Source organism: Homo sapiens, chromosome 6 (genome assembly GCF_000001405.40).
Source record: "Homo sapiens chromosome 6, GRCh38.p14 Primary Assembly".
Classification (NCBI taxonomy): Eukaryota; Metazoa; Chordata; class Mammalia; order Primates; family Hominidae; genus Homo; species Homo sapiens.
Genome location: NC_000006.12, coordinates 751,567 through 774,951, shown reverse-complemented (window position 1 = coordinate 774,951; position 23,385 = coordinate 751,567). Strand labels below are relative to the sequence as shown.

The following is a 23,385-nucleotide window of genomic DNA, read 5'->3' as shown; positions in this document are numbered from 1 at the left end:
AGTTGATTAAACAACAGCGACCTAAAGGGTGCTGAGAAGTCCACTGCTGTTAACCTGGAGGAAAGTCCCCTGAGTCCCAGCTGTTGGGGACAGCTCATCTGCCAGGCAACAGAATCCATGTTCAAGATGATTTCAAGGCCCAAAGGAAGAGACAAAAACAAATACAAACAATTCATTAGAAATAAAAGTTTTTTAAAATGTGAAATTCTGATTTTAGATTCCCACAAATAATTTCATAATTTTGGCAGAGATAACATCTAGCTTGGGAGTGGGTTTTGAGAAAACAGGCTTGAAGATGAGTTGTAAGAGCACGAAAAAGGAAAAATGCAGGTGGGCTCAGTCTTCATTCATAGAAGCATGGAGTCCCTATCAAGGCAGGTAATTAGGATGTGCCTCAGTTTCCCCAGGACCCTTTCTGCTAGCTTCGTGCACTTGTGTCAGAAGAGGCCATTAACCATGCTGTCCCCAGACTCCCTCCCACATTTCTTGACTTGTCAGGCTTTCCTGTGAGACTCATTTTCCCCTCCCTGTTGTTCTATTCTTTGACCTAATTACTGGCTGAACTAACAAGCGTTACTTGCCTTCAATGTATTCTCTCACCCTTCATCTATTAAAAACATAATACCCATGCTCAACTTTGAAGGCCCAGCTTGAATCCTACCTTCTCAGTGTGGTTTTCCTCTTCCTCACCAACAGAAATGACCTGGTCTTCCTCCAGGGGCTTGTGAACCTAGTGGCCATGGTCCTTAGGACTCTTACCAGCCTTATCACATGCACTATTGTCTTCTATGAGAGTTGGTACATTTCAGAGCATCCTAAATCATTTCTTAGGCAACAGAGGACATCAGTTGTACTTTTATAAAGATTCTATTTAAGATGTAGCTTTCTGTCAATAAACTAGGTATTGAAGGAACATACCTCAAATAATAACAGCCATTTATGACAAACCCACAGCCAATATCTTATTGAATGGGCACAAGCTGGAAGCATTCCCCTTGAAAATCGGCACAAGACAAGGATGCCCTCTCTCACCACTCCTATTCAACACAGTATTGGAAGTTTTGGCCAGGGCAATCAGATAAGAGAAAGAAATAAAGGGTATTCAAATAGGAAGAGAGGAAGTCAAATTGTCTCTGTTTGCAGATGACATGATCCTATATCTAGAAAACCTCATCATGTCAGCCCAAAAGCTTCTTCTTCTTTTTTTTTTTTTTTTTTTTTTTGAGATGGAGCCTCACTTTGTCGCCAAGGCTGGAGTGCAGCAGTGCGATCTTGGCTCACTGCGACCTCCACCTCCTGGGTTCAAGCAATTCTCCTGCCTCAGCCTCCCGAGTAGCTGGGGCTACAGGCACATGCTGCCGCGCCCAGATAATTTTTTGTAATTCAGTAGAGACATGGTTTCATTGTGTTGCCCAGGCTGGTCTCGAACTCCTGAGCTCAGGCAATCTGCTTGCCCCAGCCTCCCAAAGTGCTAGGATTATAGGTGTGAGCCACTGTGACCAGCCTCAAAAGCTTCTTAAGCTAATAACCAACTTCAGCAAAGTCTCAGGATACAAAATCAGTGTGCAAAAGTCACAAGCATTCCTATACATCAACAACATACAAGCAGAGAGCCAAATCATAAATGAACTCCCATTCACAATTGCTACAAAGAGAACAAAATACACAGGAATACAACTAACAAGGGAAGTGTAGGACCTCTTCAAGGAGACTACAAACTATTGCTCAAGGAAATCAGGACACAAACAAATGGAAAAACATCTCATGCTCATGGATAGGAAGAATCATTATTGTGAAAATGGTCATACTGCTCAAAGTAATGTATAGATTCATGCTATTCCCATTAAACTACCAATGACGTTCTTCACAGAATTAGAAAAAACTATTTTAAAATTCATATGGAGCCAACAAAGAGCCCATATAGCCAAGACAATCCTAAGCAAGAAGAACAAAGCTGGAGGCATCATGTTATCCAACTTCAAACTATACTATAAGGCTACAGTAACCAAAAGAGCATGGTACTAGTACAAAAACAGACACATAGACTAATGGAACAGAATAGAAAACTCAGAAATAAGACTGTACATCTACAACCATCTGATCTTCAACAAACCTGACAAAAACAAGCAATGGGTAAAGGATTCCTTATTTAATAAATGGTGCTGGGAGAACTGGCTAGTCATATACAGAAAATTGAATATGGACCCCTTCCTTATACCTTATACAAAAGTTAACTCAAGATGGATTAAAGACTTAAATGTAAAACCCAAAACTATAAAAACCCTAGAAGAAAATCTAGGCAATACCATTCAGTGCATAGGCACGGGCAAAGATTTCATGAAGAAAATGTCAAAAGCAATTGCAACAAAAGCAAAAATTGACAAATGGGATCTAATTAAACTAAAGAGCTTCTGCACAGGAAAGGAAACTATCAGACTGAATAGACAACCTACAGAATGGGAGAAAATTTTTGCAATCTATCCACCTGACAAAGGGCTAATATCCAGAATCTACAAGGAACTTAAACAAATTTAGAAGAAAAAAACAAACAACTCCATTAAAAAGTGGGCAAAGGACATGAACAGACACTTCTCAAGAGAAGACATTTATGTAGCCAACAGACATATGAAAAAAAGCTCAACACCATTGTCATTAGAGAAATGCAAATCAAAGCCACAATAAGATACCATCTCATGCCAGTCAGAATGGTGATTATTAAAAAGTCAAGAAACAACAGATGCTGGTGAGGCTGTGGAGAAATAGGAACACTTTCTATACTGTTGGTGGGAATGTAAATTAGTTCAACCATTGTGGAACACAGTGTGGCAATTCCTCAAAGACCTAGAACCAGAAATACCATTTGACCCAGCAATCCATTACTGGGTATATACCCAAAGGACTATAAATCATTCCATTATAAAAATACATGCATGCATATGTTCACTGCAGCACTATTCACAGTAGCAAAGACAGAGAATCAACCCAAATGCCCATTAATAAAAGACTGGATAAAGAAAATGTGGTACATATACACCATGGAATACTATGCAGCCATAAAAAGGAATGAGATAATGTCCTTTGCAGGGACATGGATGGAGCCAGAAGTCATTATCCTCAGAAAACTAACACAGGAACAGAAAACCAAACACAGCATGTTCTCACTTATAAGTGGGAGATGAACAATGAGAACACATGGACACAGGGAGGGGAACAATGCACACTGGGGCCTGTCATGGATGTTAGGGAAGAAGAGCATCAGGATAAAGAGGTAATGCACATGGGGCTTAATACCTAAGTGATGGGTTGATAGGTGCAGAAAACCACCATGGCACACCATTTACCTATGTAACAAACCTGTACATCCTTCATATGTACCCTACGACTTAAAATAAAATTTAAAAAATAGTAATACTAAGATGTAGCTTTATTTATGACTTGTGTTGTAAAATTTAGACTCTCTTAGGTTCAAGCAAAAATTTCTACACATTTCTCTACTGATAAGGAAAACACTCCTCTATAAGGCATCAATATTAGCAAATGTACATAACCAAGGAATGCATGACACTGAGATACATATTTAAAGCAATAGTTACAGCAAGTAGCTTGAATGAAAATTTTAGGAGAATGCAACTGATCTTGTCTTAAGATAATATGGAATAACTGAGGTACAATGGGAAAGAAACAAACAAAGATCATCAATCAAATATGAGAAGGCTTCCTTGATTCCAGCATTTTGGGCCTAACTCTCAATCTGTAACAAGTCTCCCAAGAAAGGTAAGTGAGTGAGAGAGAGAGAGAGAGAGAGAGAGACAGAGAGAGACAGAGAGAGAGAGAGAGAGAGAGACAGAGACAGAGAGAAAGGAAGGAAGGAGGGAGGGAGGGAGGAAGGAGAAAAAAGAAAGATTTTCATTCTTCATTAACTAAATTATATTTAGTGCATACTCTGTGTCAGGCACTGCCATGTGCTTTTGAAATAAAGAAGTTAACAAAATGTACATAGTCTCTGTGTTCATGGAGCATCCATTGTACCTCAGGATCGGAATAACCCAGTAAAAGGTCAGGTACAATAATAACTATAAGAATTAACAGGTTATGTGAGGGGGATAGAGAGTGATAGCGGTGGTATTTTATAACTGGTGTTAACTGAATCTTCACAATAATGCTCTGAAGCAAATAAAGGCCGTTCATTTGAGGCTAATCTTAAAATGAGAAAACTAAAGCTCAGAGATGATTACAGGAAGCAGCAGACTCAAGACTAAGTCCCAGCATTCCCAACTCAATCTGATACTCATTTTATTTTATCACCTTGCCTGATCAGAGGATCAGGAAATTATGCTTGTTTGAAGAGCTCTTCTTAACAAAGCAAAATGTGGGGAAGCCAAAGCTGTAGGCGACCACTTTTTTATTATTATTTTTATTTATTTTTTATTTCAATAGGTTTTTACGGAGCAGATGGTGTTTGGTTACATGAATAAGTTCTTCAGAGGTGATTTCTAAGATTTTGGTGGACCAATCACCCAAGCAGTGTACCCTGTACCCAAGGTGTAGTCTTTTATTCCTCACCCCTCTCCCACCCTTTCTCCCCAAGCCCCAAAGTCCATTGTATAATTCCTATGCCTTTGCATCCTCATAGCTTAGCTCCTACTTATCAGTAAGAACATACAATGTTTGGTTTACTATTCCTGAGTTAGTTCACTTAGAATAATAGTCTCCCATTCCATCCAGGTTGCCGTGAATGCCATTATTTTGTTCCTTTATATGGAGGAGTAGTATTCCATGGTATATGGATGTAAATATGGTATATTTCCTTTCCTTTCTATATATATATATGTATATATACGTATATATGTATATATATGCATATATACGTATATATGTATGTATATGTGTGTATATATGTATGTGTATATATTATATATATGTATGTATATATGTATGTGTATATATATGTATATATATGTATGTGTGTGTGTGTGTATATATATATATCACATTTTCTTTATTCACTCATTGATTGACAGCCATTTGGGCGGATTCCACATTTTTGCAATTGCAAATTTTGCTGCTATAAACATGCATGTGCAAGTATCTTTTTTGTATAATGACTTCTTTCCCTCTGGGTAGATACCCAGTAGTGGGGTTGCTGGATAAAACTATAGACCTACTTTTAGTTCTTTAAGGAATCTCCACACTGTTTTCCACAGTGGCTGTACTAGTTTACATTCCCACCAACAACGTAAAAGTGTTCCCTTTTCACCACATCCACGCCAACACCTATTTTAAAAAATTTTTATTCTGGCCATTCTTGCAGGAGTAAGGTGATACTGCATTGCGGTTTTGATTTGCATTTCCCTGATAATTAGTGATGTTGAGCATTCTTCCATATGCTTGTTGGCCATTTGTATATCTTCTTTTGAGAATTGTCTACTCATGTCTTTAGCCCACGTTTTGATGGGATTGTTTGGTTTTTCCTTGCTGATTTGCTTGAGTTCTTAGTAGATTGTGGATGTTAGTCCTTTGTCGGACATATAGATTATGAAGATTTTCTCCCATCCTGTGAGTTGTCTGTTAACTCTGCTGATTATTTCTTTTGCTGTGCAGAAGCTTTTTAGTTTAATTAAGTTTCATCTATTCATCTTTTGTTTTTATTGCATTTGCTTTTGGGTTCTTGGTCACGAAGTCTTTGCCTAAGCCAATGTCTAGAAGGGTTTTACTGATGTTATCTTCTAGAATTTTTATTGTTTCAGGTCTTAGATTTAAGTCTTTGATCCATCTTGAGTTGATTTTTGTACAAGATGAGTGATAAGGATCCAGTTTCACTGCTACATGTGGCTTGCTGATTGTCCCAGTATTGTTTGTTGAATAGGGTGTCCATTCTCCACTTTATGTTTTTGTTTGCTTTGTCAAAGATGAGTTGGCTGTAAGTATTTGCCTTTATTTCTGGGTTCTCTATTCTGTTCCAGTTCCATTGGTCTATGTGCCTATTTTTATACCAGTGCCATGCTGTTTGGGTGACTATGGCCTTGTAGTATAGTTTGAAGTCAGGTAATGTAATGCCTCCAGATTTGTTGTTTTTGCTTAGTCTTGCTTTGGCTATGCGGGTTCTTTTTTGGTTCCATATGAATTTTAAGATTGCTTTTTCTAGTTCTGTGAAGAATGATGGTGGTATTTTGATGGGAATTACCTTGAATTTGTAGATTTCTTTTGGCAGTAGGGTCATTTTCACAATATTGATTCTACCCATCCATGAGCGTGGGATGTGTTTCCATTTGCTTGTGTCATCTACGATTCCTTTCAGCAGTGTTTTGTAGTTTTCCTTGTAAAAGTTTTCCAACTCCTTGGTTAGGTATATTCCTAAGCATTTTATGTTTTTTGCAGCTATAGTAAAAGGGGTTGAGTTCTTGATTTGATTATTAGCTTCGTTGCTATTGGTATACAGCAGAGCTATTGATTTGTATATATTGTGTATCCTGAAAGTTTGCTGAATTAATGTACCAGTTCTCAAACACTGTACTTTAAAATACAGTTCTCATAAACTGTACTTTAAAACTGTACTTTATATTACAAATAGTTGCATTTGTAATAAAAGTATATTTGTGTTATAAAGAAAGAAGGTGGGGGAAGACGGAGAGGGAGGGAGAAAGGAAGAGAAGGAAGAATACAGGGAGGGAGGGAAAGAAAGAAGAAAGGAGGACAGTAGGGAAGGAAAGAAAAAAAGGGAAGGTATGAGGGAAAGAAGGAAAAAGGGAGGCAGGAAGGAAGGAGAAAAGGAGGGAAGAAAGGAGGAAAGTACAGAAAGAAGGAAAGAGGAAAGGAAGGAGGAAGGAAGGAGAGAGGGAAGGAGGGAGGGAAGGAAGACAGGCAGGCAAAAAATGGAAGGAAGGAAGAAAAGAAGGAAAGAAAAGTAAAAAGGGAAGGAGGAAAGGGGGAAGGAAGAAAAGAAGGGAGAAAGGGGGGATATTAGCAGTCAGAATGGGCATGCCGTCACAAAGAAGGAATTACGGTCAGTCACGTGAAATGCTACACTGTATATGACACTGGTTTGTGAATTATAAAGCTCTATAGCAGTGTGAAGAGTTAAAGTAATCCTCACAAGCAATTACTTTGAGATAATCAGGCTTCATATTTGAAGAAAGACACTTCTTGGTTTACACAGATCAGTCCCTTAAAATAGGAAAATCCCATTGTTGTCATAGCCCACCCTCCAACACACACACATGTTGGCAGGTGTCTATGATAACGCAAACAAAGAGAAGCAATTCAACCCCAGAATTCCCACACATCAGGTAGGAAAACTAAGCGCAGAGAAAAATGTGTTTCTAAGCCCAGCAATAATTAATTAAAAGGTCACAGAAACATATAAGCATTTTTCCCCCTGGGGTTTATGTAGACAAAACTAGAGAAAAATGCAAGTATAAAACATATTACATTTCAAGCCAGTAAGGCTTGCCTCAAAACGTTTAAAGAGGTGCTGGCTGCATGACTAAAACTGGTAAGCGAGTCAGCCTTGGGAGAAAACAGTGTTTCGAAAATGGAAAGAGAGTGGTTCGGGAGAGGATCAACTGGGCCAGCAGACTTTTCCATTAACAAACCTAATTTGTTTGGGAAGCAAATTTCTCCCAGGCTTTCTTTTTTAGTGGATTATTGTCATTTCTATTAGTTTTCTCTGATCTCCACTTTTTGCTGAGACCTCAGATTTGCCAACCTTGATACTTTTCAGAAATGTGACTTTCGTGTTAATAACTGTGCACCCTCTCAGTATATTCTCACTATCTCTGTGTACCTATGATAGGTTTGCACATGCGAAGTCAACAGCTTTTATCTAAAGGGCTCCCAGAGGAAGATTCTAGCTCTCAACCATCATGGCTATGCATACAGCACGGTAACTAGAGGCAGGGACTCAGCCTCACCCCGTCTGTAAAGGAACAAAAAATGAAATGTTCAGAGCTGCTCATATAATCCTTGAACTTGGACATAAATACATCAAAGGTTTGGAAGAGATCATGGTAAGCCGTGAGAACAAAACTCAGATTTGTTTATGACACCACCCCAAAGCAAAGATCTGAAGGGTGCTTTCATTTTCAAATTCAGGGTTATTTGACACAAGGCTGATGGTGAAATGTACCCACGTGTTCAACCAAGATGGTTTCGCTCAAACAGTGAAGGGCATCAGCCTGTGAAAACTACATCGTTAAAAAAAAAAAAAAGTCTCATTTAACTTGCTGCAAATCCAGCCCATTAAGTTCCCCTCTAAAGTGGTTACGGAACATGTGGAACTTGCTGGATTCTTGGGATATTGCAAAGACAGATTTCTGATGGAGAACATTATGCACTTTTCCCTATTTCATACTTCAAATTTATTATTTTCTCCTTTTAAAATATTTTTTGCCGAGTAAAGTTTGGATTAAGCCAAAACCTCAATCTTTATATTTTATTTCAGAACATATTGTAAGTAGGCACTTGAAAGCAAATTTTAAAGCACTTGTTCTCTTTTAACTAATCCAGAACAAAGAATTTAAAATAAACTTTCCAAGGCGCTTATCAATTTCAAGATGTACAAAAACTTTTCAACACATGAAAATCTTACTTTTAAATATTATGTTATTTACATCATCAAAAAAATACATATTCAATATATTTTTCTTGAACAGCCAGATAGCTTTCCAGGTGAAGTATCACTAAATTTACAGCAATAATCCTATCATTAATCCAAAACAAAATTACAATAAGAACATTACAGTGTCCAAATATTCTGGAAACAAGGGAAATACCATATATTCATTGCACTTTTTCTGACTAAAGAGTGAACCTATTGCTTTAAGTTTAGACTTACTTTACCTACAAAGGTGTCTGGAGGTTGAGGAAAAATAGAATCAGTATATTATTGAATGTTAACTAATAAACCCTTTGAAATAAGTTTATCCTCTGTTTCCAGACTTTTCAGACAGCTTGTATATTATTTTGGCTCAGATAGCATTTTACATACTAATGAATTACATATGGGTTGCAAAACCACTGCCCAATATTAGCTAAAGATATGAATGTCCATACTGATCTACAGAGAGGGGCTGACTAGGGCCAGGGACAGAGCACAGACCATCTTTTAATGCTCAAGCTAAAAAATAAAACCTCGAACAAAATTAGGGACCGACTTCCTCCTGGGGGAACCTGGTTTTTAATAAGCACACGGTTACTAAAGTTCTGGGATGGCCAAGAATCTATGCCTTAGGTGTTGACGGCGAGCTCCAAGTCAATTACTTGTGCGTTTATTCCACACACACACTTACTGAGTGCCTACCCTGGTCCAGGCACACGCCAAGCATCACAGTCCCTGGGAAGCTGGGATGAAATGTAGCCAAATTCTCAGCACGAACGCCCTTTCTCTGAACATTCGAGAGAAGTGTGCACAAGAGGGGGCTGCCCACACGATGCACCCTGATAGGGGAGCCTAGGTTTCTGGGGGCACCTTTTGGGGCACCCCCTGTTGTTTGCTGGCCTGGAACCAACCTTAGGAACCAGAGAGATAACACCCTTTGGTTGCCTCTGTTCAAGAAGTGAGTCCCAAGCACAGCAGGTACCCCCAGTCCTAAGTTGTAAACTCACAGTAGCATAAGCATCGCCACGTTACTCAGAGTAAATACGTATTCAATTTCAATCCCCGATTGGGTACACACCACAAATATAGACTACTTTATCTGGTTAGATTGTACATGGTCAATACAATATGACAATTTACTTGCAGAATATCAGCTATATTGGATTGCTACTGCCACTCTACTAGGGCACCCCAACACAATTCATTTTCCCAACCAGATGTCCCTCCATAACCAGATGTTCAAACATTCATTGAAATGTAAGCACACAAACCTCTGATGTGCTTGCTCAGGGTCACACCCTATTCCTCCTTCAGAATCTTCCCAGGAAGTATCTCAGTGTCTTCCCCTCGCCGAAGCCACCTCCACCCTATACCCTCCATCAACAGCATCCCCACTGAGTCACCATATGCCAGTTTGTAAATACCAGAATTGAGGTCTGAAAGAACCGTCTGAGAGCTAAGCCTCAGAACCGTGAACGAGCTCAATGTAAGGGAGAATGCCAACGACAGAATCATCCACATGAGTCCTGTGTCCTTCCGGCTCCAAGCTTACCCTGAATATCACAGCCAGGTTAGTTTCCCTAATCTGTTAGTTAGAATATGGGTTTAGTTATGTTGACAACAGTCTGCGCTTCTACTCCATAAAGTGTCAAGGGACTCAGGTTCCTTCTGCGTTGATTTTCTGCCCCCTTCAAAATGCTGCTTCATTCACAGCCCTCTGCACCATCCGCACATCTGAGCCACCAGAAGGAAGGGTGGGGACCTGGACAGCCCGTCCTATTTCTTTAAGGGCAAAGCATAGATGTGCTCACATCATTTCTGTTCACAGTTACTTCCAGTGAACTTAGTCACATGGCCACACCTTGCTACAAGAGAGGCCGGGAATAAAGTCTGCATTTTGTTCAGCTATGTGCCCAGATGAAAATTCTATTGCTATGGAAGCTGAAAGAATGGATGCTGGGGGCCGGGCTTGGTAGCTCACTCCTGTAATCCCAGAACTTTGGCAGGCTGAGGCGTGTGGATCGCCTGAGGTCAGCAGTTCGAGACCAGCCTGGCCATTATGGTGAAACCCCATCTCTACTAAAAATACAACAATTAGCCAGGCGTGGTGGCAGGCACCTGTAATCCCAGCTATTCAGGAGACTGAGGCAGGACAATCGCTTGAACCCAAGAGGCGGAGGTTGCAGTGAGCCAAGCTCGTGCCACTGCACTCCAGCCTGGGCAACAGAGCAAGACTCCGACTCAAAAAAAAATTTTTTTTTAATTAAAAAAAAAAAAAGAATGGATGCTGGGGAGCAAGGGAGAGGCTCTGCCATACCAAAATACTTCATGTGTCTCTGCTCAAAATGTCCTGTCCATGTGGCACACTAGGGCAAACATCCGCTTGCACTGCAGCCATTCCAGAGCAGATGGTACTCAATGATCCAGCTTTCATCACCAGCTCAGGCTCTCCACAGCCTCCAAAACTACACACTCCACAACACTGCCTCACCGTGCCTCTTCCCCTCTTAGAGAGGCTGAGTCAATGCCCCAACTCCTCCATAAACTTCTCCCTTCTTACTATATCCCATAATACTCTTCCTCCCCTGAACTCCTTTTGCCCTTGTTGTCAGCCCAGTCTCCATTCCCTCAGTCATGATAGTGGATGCCGTTCAATGCTCACCCTTATGCCCTCGGTCCTCAGCTTCCAGGACCTGTGGAGAGCATCCATCTACAAGAACCTGCTGTGCTCCCTCTGAAGGCTTCTCATGATCTGCACAGCAGAGGCCAGAAGGGCTAAGGAGTTAACGCTCCCAGAAGCAGCTCTCAGGCAATGAAGGGGGAGAGAGCTGGAAGATGACTAGCCCATCTCCCTCACCCTCAGGCAGACTAACACCAGCTTCCGTTCCATACCATTTCCCAGTATGGCCCGTTGCCCCCAGTGCCAGTGAGCCTTGGCTGGCTTCCTTCCTTTCCCTGTCTCACTTCTGTCACTCTCCTTCCTACCCATGCTTCCTGGGTCATTCTTATTCAACTAGTAGTCCTCAGATTCTTGCCTCAGTGTCTCCTTCTTGGAAATCTGTATTAATTAGGGTTCTCCAGAGAATCAGAACCCAGGTGGGAGACGTGTGGGGAGATGATAAGAAATTGTCTCACATAATTGTAGAAGCCACGGCAGCTGCAAAGCTGGAGGCCCAACAGAGCCAGTGGTGTGGGTTCAGTTTGAGTCCGAAGGCCTGAGAACCAGGAGAGCCGATGGCATAAAAAGACGGCAGGAAAAGAACCATGTCCCAGCTCAAGAAGTCAGGGAGAGAGAACAAATTCCCCCTCCTCTGCGTTTTTGTTCTGTTCAGGGCCTCCTCAGATTGGATGGTGCTCACCCACTTAAGGGAGGGCCATCCGTTTTACACAGTCTACCAGTTTAAATGCCCATCTCATCCAAAACACCCTCACAGAAACACCCAGGATAAAGGTTAGCCAAATATCTGAACTAACCTGGTCTGGTCAAGATGACACGAAATTAATCATCACAGAACAACTAAGACAATCATACCTCATCCTCCCTACCCTCCCTAGAGTTCTGGACAATGCAAATGCCCCCATCTCATTGTGCCATATCCCCAGTGCCTGGTACACACACAGTAGGTGCTTAACAGATGTTGGAGGTTCGTCAGAACTGACTATATTTGCATGTATATTTTCCTCTCTGTTCTAATGCCAGTGTTGTAATTTGTTAGTTCAACACCCAGTCTGCTAAAGCAGGAGTGGTTGCTGCAAACTTTGTAACTGATGGTTCAGGCAGGTACCAGCCTTGTCATAACCACGCAGTAATTACACACGAAAGTATGTTTCCCTGTGCTTTACAAAGCATAAAGCTATTTGTTTTGGTTTCATCCCATCACTTCATTAAGCAGCAGAAGAGTTAGGTTATATACTGAACCAATTTTGTACTAAGCTTTGTTTACTTTCTGTTCAATGAACATGCTAATTCATTGTCATAAAATTCATAGTTTACATGAAAATCCATTGTCCCCTATTCTACCAAATGTTAACGATTCAAAATGTGCAGCAAATGGTTCCATTTAAAGAGCAACACGAGTGAGTATCGAGAACAGCCATGGAGCCCCGGAATAGGCGTCTCTTCCCCCTTTCTCCCCTCCCTGCCTCATACGCCCATCTTTCTTCCGTCTCCATCCGCAAAGAGAAGCTCATAAAAGAGAGAAATGTTTCCATCAGGCACAGCAGTGCAGAAGCTGCATACTGTTTGCATTTGCACAGTATCGTTTTTGTTATCTCCCCACGTCGTTTATAACAGTTTTGCAGTTGTGTGTGGGCGTATAGGTAAAAATTTCTCGAGTATTTTGAATTCTATAAAATCCAGAAGAAACTTTGCCAAATGTATTCCCATCTTGCTTTTTAAACTCACATACATTTAAAGGGATATTCAATACTTTTGTTTTTGACTTGGTTACTCATAGGCCATTAAAGGGTTGTCTTTTAAAAGCTATTTGCTATTCCAGGAGACTTGGGAGCCCATTTTACGATCCTTTCTAAGTCCTTTTTCTCGGAACGGGAAGTTGCATCTTGCCAAGAGTAGGCACACTGAGCAGTGCGGTAGGGCCGGGCTCTGTGAACGGCTGAGAGCTGCATCCCTCTCCTCCTGTGTGTGGATCTCACAGGGTGAAAGCTTGATCAAGACAATTACAGTGAGAAAGCAACGTGAGAAAAATCAGGAGCTTAAATGCCAGCCAAGAACCGGGCTTTCCTCTGGGTCTGAAACTAGACTGGGGAAGACGTGCCTTTCTCAAAATCCAGAGAGCTGCCCCTCCGGGCAGTGCCATCACCTTTCCGAGCTCCGTGCACCAGCTCCCGAGTCCTGCAGCGTGTGGCCGGCCGCGGCCATCGGCTTTCCTCACTCTCGTCATTTCACTTGTCATCAGCAGAAAAGGCAGAAGGAGCAGCTCTCCTTCCCCGCGTGGGGGGTACCCATCCCGGCCAGAGACACAGAGAGCTGGCCTTTCCTTCTCTTCTTACCGCTTCGCATCTGTCAGCCGAGGCCTGGGCTTAAGGGAAATGCACGGCCACGCTGGGCGGGTTTCTCGGAGCTGCCCTAACACGCTAGCACGGCCCGGGTGGCCTCCGACCACAGGCACATTCTCTCAGGCTTCTGGAAGCTGGAAGTCCAAAGTCACCGCGCCGAAAGGGCCGCCTGCCCCCTGCAGCCTAGGGAAGAATTCTCCCTCGCCGCTTCTCGTGGTGTTGCCAGCATTGCTTGATGCTTCCTGCTTTGCAGATGCGTTACTGCAACCTGCTCCGCCCCCCGGGTTCAAGCGATTCTCCGGCCTCAGCCTCCCCAGCAGCTGGGACCACAGGCGCCCCCCACCACGCCCGGCTCATTTTTTGTATTTTTAGTAGAGACGGGGTTTCACCGTGTTAGCCAGGATGGTCTCGATCTCCTGACCTCGTGATCCGCCCGCCTCGGCCTCCCAAAGTGCTGGGACGACAGGCGTGAGCCGCCGCGCCCGGCCCCCAACAGGTAATTTCTTATCCCCAACATTGCCTTTAATATCCATACTTCTACCAAGTGTCTTCTAGGCTTTTAAAAGCATGTACCTCAAGTTTCTTCCAGTCACTTCCCATTACCCAATTCCAATGCCACTTCTGCATTTTTAGAAATTCGCTACAGTAGAACCCAACTTCCCAGTATCAAAATGTGTGTTAGTCAGGGTTCTCAGAAAAACAGAATCAATCAAGAGTGTACATAGATACCCACGCACATGTATATAATATATACGTAAAAATCTTACTAAATATTATATATGCTATATGTTATATATGTTGTGTGTTTGATATTATTTGGCTCTGTGTCCCCACTCAAATCTCATCTCAAAATATAACCCCCACTTGTCCAGGGAGGGACCTGTAATCCCCACATGTGGAGGGAGGGAGGTGATTAGATCATGGGCACAGTTTTCTCCATGCTGTTCTCGTGATAATGAGTGAGTTCTCACAAGAGCTGATGATTCTATAAGTGTTTGACAGTTCCTCCTTCACATGCTCTCTCTCCTGCTGCATTGTGAAGAAGGTGCCTGCTTCCCCTTCTGCCATGATGGTAAATGTCCTGAGGCCTCCTCAGCAATAGGGAACTGTGAGTCAATTAAATCTCTTTCCTTTATAAATTACCCAGTCTCAAGTATTTCTTCATAGCAGTGTGAAAATGGACTGATACCGTGTTGTGTATTATTTATTAATATACATACACCTACTCCCAAAAAGAAAGAGAGAGAAGGAGATATTTATTTGAATGAATTGGCTCACATTATCGTGGGGATTGGCAAATCTAAAATGTATAGAACAGGCTGGCACGCTGTAACCTCAAGCAAGGAGTTGATGCTGCAGGCTTGATGAAGAAATTCTTCTCCGGGAAACATCAGGTTTTGCTCTCAAGGCCTTCAACTGATTGGGTGAGGTCCACCCACAACATCCAGGAGATCTTAAAAGTTAACCACATCTATAAAATGCCTTCACAGCAACACCTAGATTTGCATCTAATAAAATAATGGGGTACTATCATCTAGTCAAGTTAACACATGAAACCAACACACATTCCCAATCTAATGAGACCTCCAAGAATCAAAATCTTGTGTCTAGGTTTTATTGATCATTATTTTACTTATTTTTAAGATTCGACTGGCCTAAAATGGAATTATTATGTGAATTTCAGGGCAGCAGAATTACTTTTCCTATCAAAGTTCAGAGATGAATACAATGGAAATAACAGAATAGTACATGCACAAACAGCTAACCTGTCCTGGCTTCTACAGCCTCAATAGGTAAGTGGATTGAAGAGCAGTAAGAGAAAGGCCCTCCTATCCAATATGCAATGGTAGACTGTCCATGTGTCAAAAGCCATGTGTCATACATACAGGAAAGTACGCTTGATTTTTTTTTTTTTTTTTTGAGACGGAGTCTTGCTCTGTCACCCAGGCTGGGGTGCAGTGGCACGATCTTGGCTCACTGCAAGCTCCGCCTCCTCCCGGGTTCAAGCAATTCTCCTGCCTCAGCCTCCCGAGTAGCTGGAACTACAGGCGCCTGCCACCACGCCCGGCTAATTTGTGTGTGTGCGTGTATTTTTAGAGAGATGGGGTTTCACCGTGTTAGCCAGGATGGTCTCGATCTCCTGACCTCATGATCCACCTGCCTCGGCCTCCCAAAGTGCTGGGATTATGGGCGTGAGCCACCGTGCCCGGCCTGATTTTTTTAACTTGGCTTTTTAAACAAATCTTTATTTCCCCTGGTTACAAAAACAATGTGCTCACTTTAGATAATTTGAGAAAGGCAAGGAAGAAGAGAAGAAACATCATTTTTAATTCCACTTCAGACATAGCCCTTCCTAACACTTTAATGCTTTAATGTATTTTTTCAAGTATGTTTTGCTGAATATGCCTGTATATATTTACATGTATACATATATAATCCAGAAATATATGTGGGTATACACAGACATGCACACACGTATAATTCAAAACATCATGAAACCTTACATTCTGGTTTAGCGATCTCATGTTTCTCACAAACAATTATCTCTACTTATTTGTAAATTTACTTATTTGTGGAGAGATTAGATCCTTCACAACATCCAATGTGTATTAAAACCCATATTCTAGAACAGATGTCCAGAGACTATTAAATAAAAATTCATTTTTCATTCCAAGTTGCAAGATTTAATAAGATCAGCAGATCTACACACAGAAACCTCGACTAACTACGTGAGTCTAGTATGTTTATCTCCACAAGACTGTGGCCTCTCACTGTCATTTACGCACATTTCCTGCAATTCTGACATCCTGAGTTTGCTAGAAGGATGAGAATCTGTATAGGAGGACATCTCAAACTCTAGTTTCCACCACCGAGGTAACCTCCTGTTTAGATACCCCACATTCACATTCTAGGCATCAGGTTCTAGAATAGCTGTAATATTACTTAGCAACTATATGCAGCAATAACACGACTGACTACAAAACAATCTGATGAAAAACCTAATCACTAATTAGTCAATAATTGGTGAGTATCCACTAATATGTGAAACAAGGTCATTCCTAATGGATTTTAAAGAATCACAGCATTAAGGGTCACGAATCAGTTTCAACGAGCCTAGAAACTGAGGATGCAGAACTCAAAGCCTCTCACTCGTGTCACTGAGCTTCTTGGAGCCATAAACAGGTCTGAAAACGAGGCCTCCCAGCGCCATGGGGAGCGCTCTTCTTCCTCACCTCCTGTCCCAGATTGCATTTGGAGGAACACATGTCTCAAAATACATTCTAAACAAAAGGGTTCTGTTGCAAAGTAAGCCTAGCAGCTTCTTGGGTTGTTAGCATACTTGCCTCATAAGAGATCCCCAGTTAAATAACCTTTTTTAACCAGCGTTTTCCAAACCTCACTTATCCCAGAACCTAGAGCCCCAAAGCTTGAGTATTTGGGGTAAGGAACTGGTTTTAGAATTTGCACATCTAGGAGGAGGAGAGGGTAGGATTTAGTTTCATCTTTCTTTTATATTTTGCTATTTTAATGGCCAATTCTTCCACAATCAATGTAGTCAATCATGCAGTCTGTGCTTATTTACATAATGACAGAAACTAGAGAGAGAGATAATTCAAAACAGCAGGTTTTAAAATAAATAACAAAGAATTGGCTTTGGAGTGAGTTGTTGAACTGATATTAACTCATAATGAAGTAGGCCTGACGGGCCAGACAACGGCCCCAACACTCCAGCAAGCTCAAGGCCTTGTGAGCAACCATGGAAGGCGGTGGGAGTCTTTACGCCTGGTGGCTCCACATAGAAATAACAGGTCCTTTATCCCAAGGGTCACATAGAACACAAAAGCCTCAATATGAAGACATCACTCAGGTTAAACAGAAGAATCTGTCTCTCCCAATTACTCCCAAAAGTCTGCTCCGACTTGGTAACACCACGTCTTTTTAAAAGACAAAACCAAGAATGTTGTGATATGCTCAAAAACTTCACTCACTCTTTTCCTGTTTTAAAGAGTAAAGGCTAAAATCTGGAGTGGTTCTTAAGGCTCACATCTGACCCAGGCCCACATCTGGCTCTGTTGTTTCTCCACAGGGAAGCCTCCATCACCCCCGCTCTTTCCTTCCCTAGTCCACTTGCCTGCAGTGACTTTCTCTCTCCTTCTCAGATATGGTGTATCGGTTTCCAATTGCTGCGTAACAAGCATGATATAATGGCTTATGACCACAAATGTGTATCTCCCTGTGGTTCAGTAGGTGAGAAGTCTCACGTGGGTCTCCTGGGGATAAAGCTAAGATGTCAGCAGAGCTGCTTCGTTTCTGGAGGATCTAGGGGAGACTTCACTTTCTTATCTTTTCCAGATTTTAGAGGTCGTTAAATTCCTAAGGCCATGGCCCCTTCCTTCATCTCCAAATGCAGCAACGTTGCCTCTCTCTGACCAGCCCTCCAGAGTCATCTCCTTCTGACTCTCTTCTTATGTCTCCTTCTTCTGTTTTAAAGGATCCCTGTGATTATACTGGGCCCACCCAGATAATTCAAGACCATCTCCCTACCTTAAGGTCGGCTGATTAGCAACGTTAATGCCAATGTTAATTCCCTGCAACTTTGATTCCTATTTGCCCTGTAAAGTAATGTATTCACCAGTTCTCGGAATTAGGATGTAGAAATCTTTGGCATTGGGAGGGATTATTTTGCTAGTACAAATGACAAGAGCTCTTTACTTGTGAAGGTTCTGTGCCCCTGTAGTGTTTGTTTATTGCTTCTATTATACTTCTCATCACAGACTTATTTGTACTATTACTTACTTACAAATGTATCCTCCACTTCATTACAAGTTCCTTAAGAGCAGGGACCACTCTTGAATCCCATTTTTGTCTTCTGAGGCCAGGTCCAGTCATTGGCACAAAGAATTTTTTGATGACTGGCATTTTCCCTGACTATTGCAAATTCTGCCTTCTGTGTAAGTTTCTTGCTTAACTTAGAATCAATTAGCAATCTGCAGCCAAAGCAAATGAAACTGGTGTTCACAAAGCCTTCACTTAGGAGATTAAGTGGTAAACATCTTAAATTATCAACACAGATCAAAGAATAATCCCAATGAACACTACAATTTTATAAGATCTCTTTATAAAATAAACCCAGAGGTTTTCCAGGCCCATAATTTCAAATTGACTTTAGCAAAACAGCTTAACTTTAGCAACAGATCCGTGGCAGAAGAATATTTTCACACTTTTCCTACAAGTCTTTTTAAAAATTTGAAGAATGTGTTAAAATTCAGAAATAAATGATAAGAATGTATCTGCAGACAAGACCCAGCAGGAAACAGCACACCATACTGACTGAGTAAAGGGAGTTTAACGAAGGGGGCATTTCTAACTATGTGGGCAGAGTTTAGGAATGGCAGCAAGGGGTGATGCAGTATCTCAGGGCTAATGATGGTGGGGGGTTCTTACTGCTCTTTGACCTGAAGGGGAAAGGGAAAGGAGAAGTTACTGCAGCCCAGAGAAGGGAGCCCAGTGGGAGCCGTGGCCAGGTAGGGGGACTTCACTCTTCTCATTGCCTCCCGCCTCCTGCTGATGTTTCCCTGTAGCCCCAAGTAGGCAGAGGGAAAAAAATAATAGACAAATCATAAGTCAATAAAATAGAAAATGCAAAAACAAGACAGAAAAATCAATGTAAACAAGAGCTGATTGAGAGGCTGAACAAAATGAATAAACCTCTAGCCAGACTGATCTGGAAAAAGAGGAGTCACAAATTACTGACGGGAGGAATGAGAGTGGACCTCTCCATAGATCCTACAGACATTGACAGGATGGTTAGGGGACATTAGGAACCACTGTGTACTAATAAACTCCACCACTTTAGATGAATAGGCAAGGAAATGTGTTTCCTTGAAAGACACAGGCTAACAAAACTCACTCAAGAGGAGGCTCCTTGCCAGCTGACTATAACATCTGACTGACAGTATGTACTATATCACACTTTGGTTAAGGAAGAGCCCTCCAGGCCCCACTAGAAAGGAGGTAAAGAAGGAGGAGGAGGAGAAGAGACCTGATTAGAAGGTAGGTAAGCAGGTTGCATGTAATAGGCCCATTCTAACTTCCCCATTTTTCCTGGAACATTGGATAGAGAAATTCCAGAATTTGAGCCTCCTTGACTCCAGGTGACCATTGAGTCCAGGCTTCACTCAGCCAACCTAGTAGACTCAAGCCAACACATTACATTCCAAATCCTGAGTGTTTATACCTACCTCAATAAATACAGCCCAATCACTGCTTCCATTTGATTTTTACTAGTCTAACACCCTTAGATGGCATCCCATAATACTCCCCAGGCTCCAGCAGATGTACACTGGCAAGATCCTGTAATTCTCTTGGTAGATAGACTATCTCCTCCAAAACCAGGATTTGTGTCTCTCCATCTGGGCTGTGTTGGGATCTAATCTTATTATGGGCCTGGTGGCAGTTGAGGTGGTAGGGGCTTACAGCTGAGGGGAATGTGCACCTGTTTATGAGCAGATTCCCCAGGTGTATTCTCTGAAGGGCATTTATACCTAGAGAAGGAGTTGCCTGAAGACAAGTTCAGGGAGAATTGGAGTTTTAAACTTCTTAGCCTTTTACATGTCTCAGTCTCCCACCTCTCCCCACCCAGCCATTACCTGAGAGTGAGAGCCGTGGGGCTGTGCCTTCATCGAAGCTGCAGCTCCACAGCCCATACATCAGGCAGAGCTCAGCCACATCTACCATGATGGCAGGAAGTGAGGAGCTCCCACTAAGCTGCCAGGCTTTCTCACTGTCTAAGTGTGCTCTGAGTAAAACACAAATAATACTAATCAATAATAATAATCCTCACAATCTCCAATTTCTCCTTTTCTCTGTATACAATGTCTAGTGTCACCAGAAACAGCCAGCTGACCTCACGATCCTTATCTCACTTTTGCTGTCAAAGCAACCAGGACTGTTGCCCTTTGATCCCATCCCTAGTCCCTCCACCTGCACTTCCTCTCATGCCACCACTGAGGACAATTCGAGAAACTGATGCTACCGTGTGGAACAGCTTACCAGGGCCTCATCTCCTGCAAAGTTATTTGTATACTTCTCCACTATAGGAGCAACCCAATGCCAGAAGTCTTTTTAGAGGGTTTGTTTTCTGGGGCCATTTCTGGTACCAATGACTGTCAGTCAGATGTTATAGCTGTTACACTTAAATGGAGTAATTGAGAGAATTTAGTGAAGAAGCTATTTTAAAGGGTCTGCACAACAATGGAGATACATAGATGACAGATTATTGACAGATTGATGACAGATAAATGACAACTAAATAATATATAGACAAATGACATAGATGATAGATAATAGATAGATAGATAGATAGATAGACAGACAGATGGCATGGAAGGGGTTTGGGGAAATCTGTTAGGGATAATGAGGGATCCAATTATGTTACAACAGTATGAGAGCTACCTAGAGAAAACTGTGGCCTTGACAGAGACACGCAGTCAAACCAAGGTCCCTGGATGGAGCCAGAGGAATCAGCAGCCCAACCCCACTCTTCTCACCGTGCCTCCATAAAAAGCCACACTGATGAGGAGCATGTGGGTTACCCTTCAGAGAGAAGGGTGGAGCAGGGACCTGGAGGCCCAAACAGTAGATGCCCAGCACATGATTCATCCAAAACCTTGCCTTGCCAGACCACTAGGTCACTCAGTCACTGAAGCTTCCCTCTGACTCCAGCTCACTTTCTCCCATCGTGACCCACACAGTCCTCTGATGCTCTAACAAGGACACCAAAAGGCAAATTAGTATTCACCTAATTTTCATTGTAAATGACTGTCTTGTTAGTGAAGAGGACCCTCTCCTGCATCCTGTTTCCTTAGAACCACCACTGCTGTCAGTAAGCTGGCTAATCCAATAAATCCATGTGTGTTCGTGAGGTCAATCATGGTAAGGACTTCCTGCATTGTTTATATCACACAAAAGACCAGGGCAGACAGTGCTCCACCCTGGTGCTCACTCCCCTGTTGATAGATTTCTCAGTGTAATCCCCTTGGGAATACCACTATTCTCTGTCCTTTAAATAACTGTACTGTGCTTCCAAAGTTAATGAGATCAAACACATTTAAGCATTTTATTTAGAAAAGAATCTGATGGAAATAGTAACTCAATACAATGAAAACAATACCTTTGTTTTTTCAGTAGGATGCACATCTTTAAAAATTCCAGTGTTATATTTCTTTTAAAAATCTTCCAACTTAGGATAAAATTTCATTGGGAATTATCATAACCTGTCTTTAAAAAATCATGCTCTGGGTCGGGTACAGTGGCTTATGCCTGTAATCCCATCATTTTGGGAGGCCGAGGCAGGTGGATCACCTGAGATCAGGAGTTTGAGACCAGCCTGGACAACATGGTGAAACCCCATCTCTACTAAAAATACACAACTTAGCTGGGCGTGGTGGTGGGCACCCGTAATCCCAGCCACCCGGGAGGCTGAGGCAGGAGAATCATTTGAACTCAGGAGGTGGAGGTTGCAGTGAGCTGAGATTGCACCACTGTACTCTAGCCTGGGCGACAAGAGCGAAACTTCATTTAAAAACAAACAAACAAACAAACAAAAAGCATGTTCTGGAAAGTTAAGTAGTCTGACTCTAATGAAATAGGACAGTAGGAAAAAAATGCTTAGTCACCATAAAGCATAGAATGATGGAGATTTTGTAAACCAGAAACAGCAGGACATTTAGAAAACAAAACTGGCTGAAATGGAAGATGCCTGGAGAAAATATTTGTCTCACCCAATCAAGAAATCCATGCCATATAGCATTAGGGTTAATTCTGGGTGAAACTGTGAAATAAGCAAAGTTGATATTTGATGATTTCATTGTTGGGCTGATCTCCAGTTATTAGCAAACCTTATTTTTCCCCATAGACATTGCGTTTTCTTCCTCTCATCTCCTCTTTCTTCTCCTTCTCTTTCTCTTCTGTCTCTCTCTCTCCTCTTTTTCTCTCTCTCTTCTCTTCTTCCCCCACCTCTTTCACAGTTACCACCCTAATCTATCTGTTCTCACTCCATTTATATTCTAATTTCAATAATCAGGAAAGCATCTCAGCAATTCCTTCACATTGATGGGAAAGTGACTAACAGATCTCAGTATGTTACTATTTTATGAACTGTTACCATTTCACAGGTGACAATGGCTTTTTAAAACTCCAGGCCAAACTTATATAATTGGAATTTAGGCAATAATAAGTGGAGTGAGGATGTTCCTATGATTGAAGGTGGGCTACAACCTTCTGGTCAACCAACCACAACACATATCAAGTGCCTCCTTTGAGCTAGGCACTCTGCCAACAGTTGGAAACGCAAATGTGATAATACGCAAACTCAGCTAATTGAGAAAGCTCTCACAATGCAATCTTCTCATAAATGAACCAGGTACAGACCATTTCACCAGTAAATCGTTTCAAATATTCAAAGAATGTATACTTCTAATTCTATTTCAACTCTCGCAGAACATTGAGAAAAGTTTCACACCACTTTTATCATTATGTGAAATACTTATATTGAAATCTGAGACAAATAGCACTAAAAAGAAAAATAAATATAAGGTTTTCAGTAGTAGAATGGCTGTTCACAGAAATTACCCAAATGCAATAAGAAGAAACAGAAGGGCAAACGCAAATTCCATCTTTGACACGACCAGCATACAGCTCTAATTCCTAATCACAATATTTGAGAATGGGCTGCCAAATGTCCACCCTCGAAGATATTCACCAGCCTT

General features: G+C 41.8%; 1 long non-coding RNA gene across 2 annotated transcripts in view; it reads left to right on the top strand.

The window, feature by feature from the left end:
* Window positions 1–16,571: 16,571 nt before the first annotated feature.
* The window catches only part of LOC105374873 (uncharacterized), a 30,545-nt gene continuing 23,731 nt past the window's right edge, over window positions 16,572–23,385 (top strand). For both annotated transcript variants that reach the window (XR_001743915.2, XR_926363.3), the window contains exon 1: window positions 16,572–16,639. This is a non-coding gene — a long non-coding RNA (uncharacterized LOC105374873). The remainder of the gene's footprint in view (window positions 16,640–23,385) is intronic.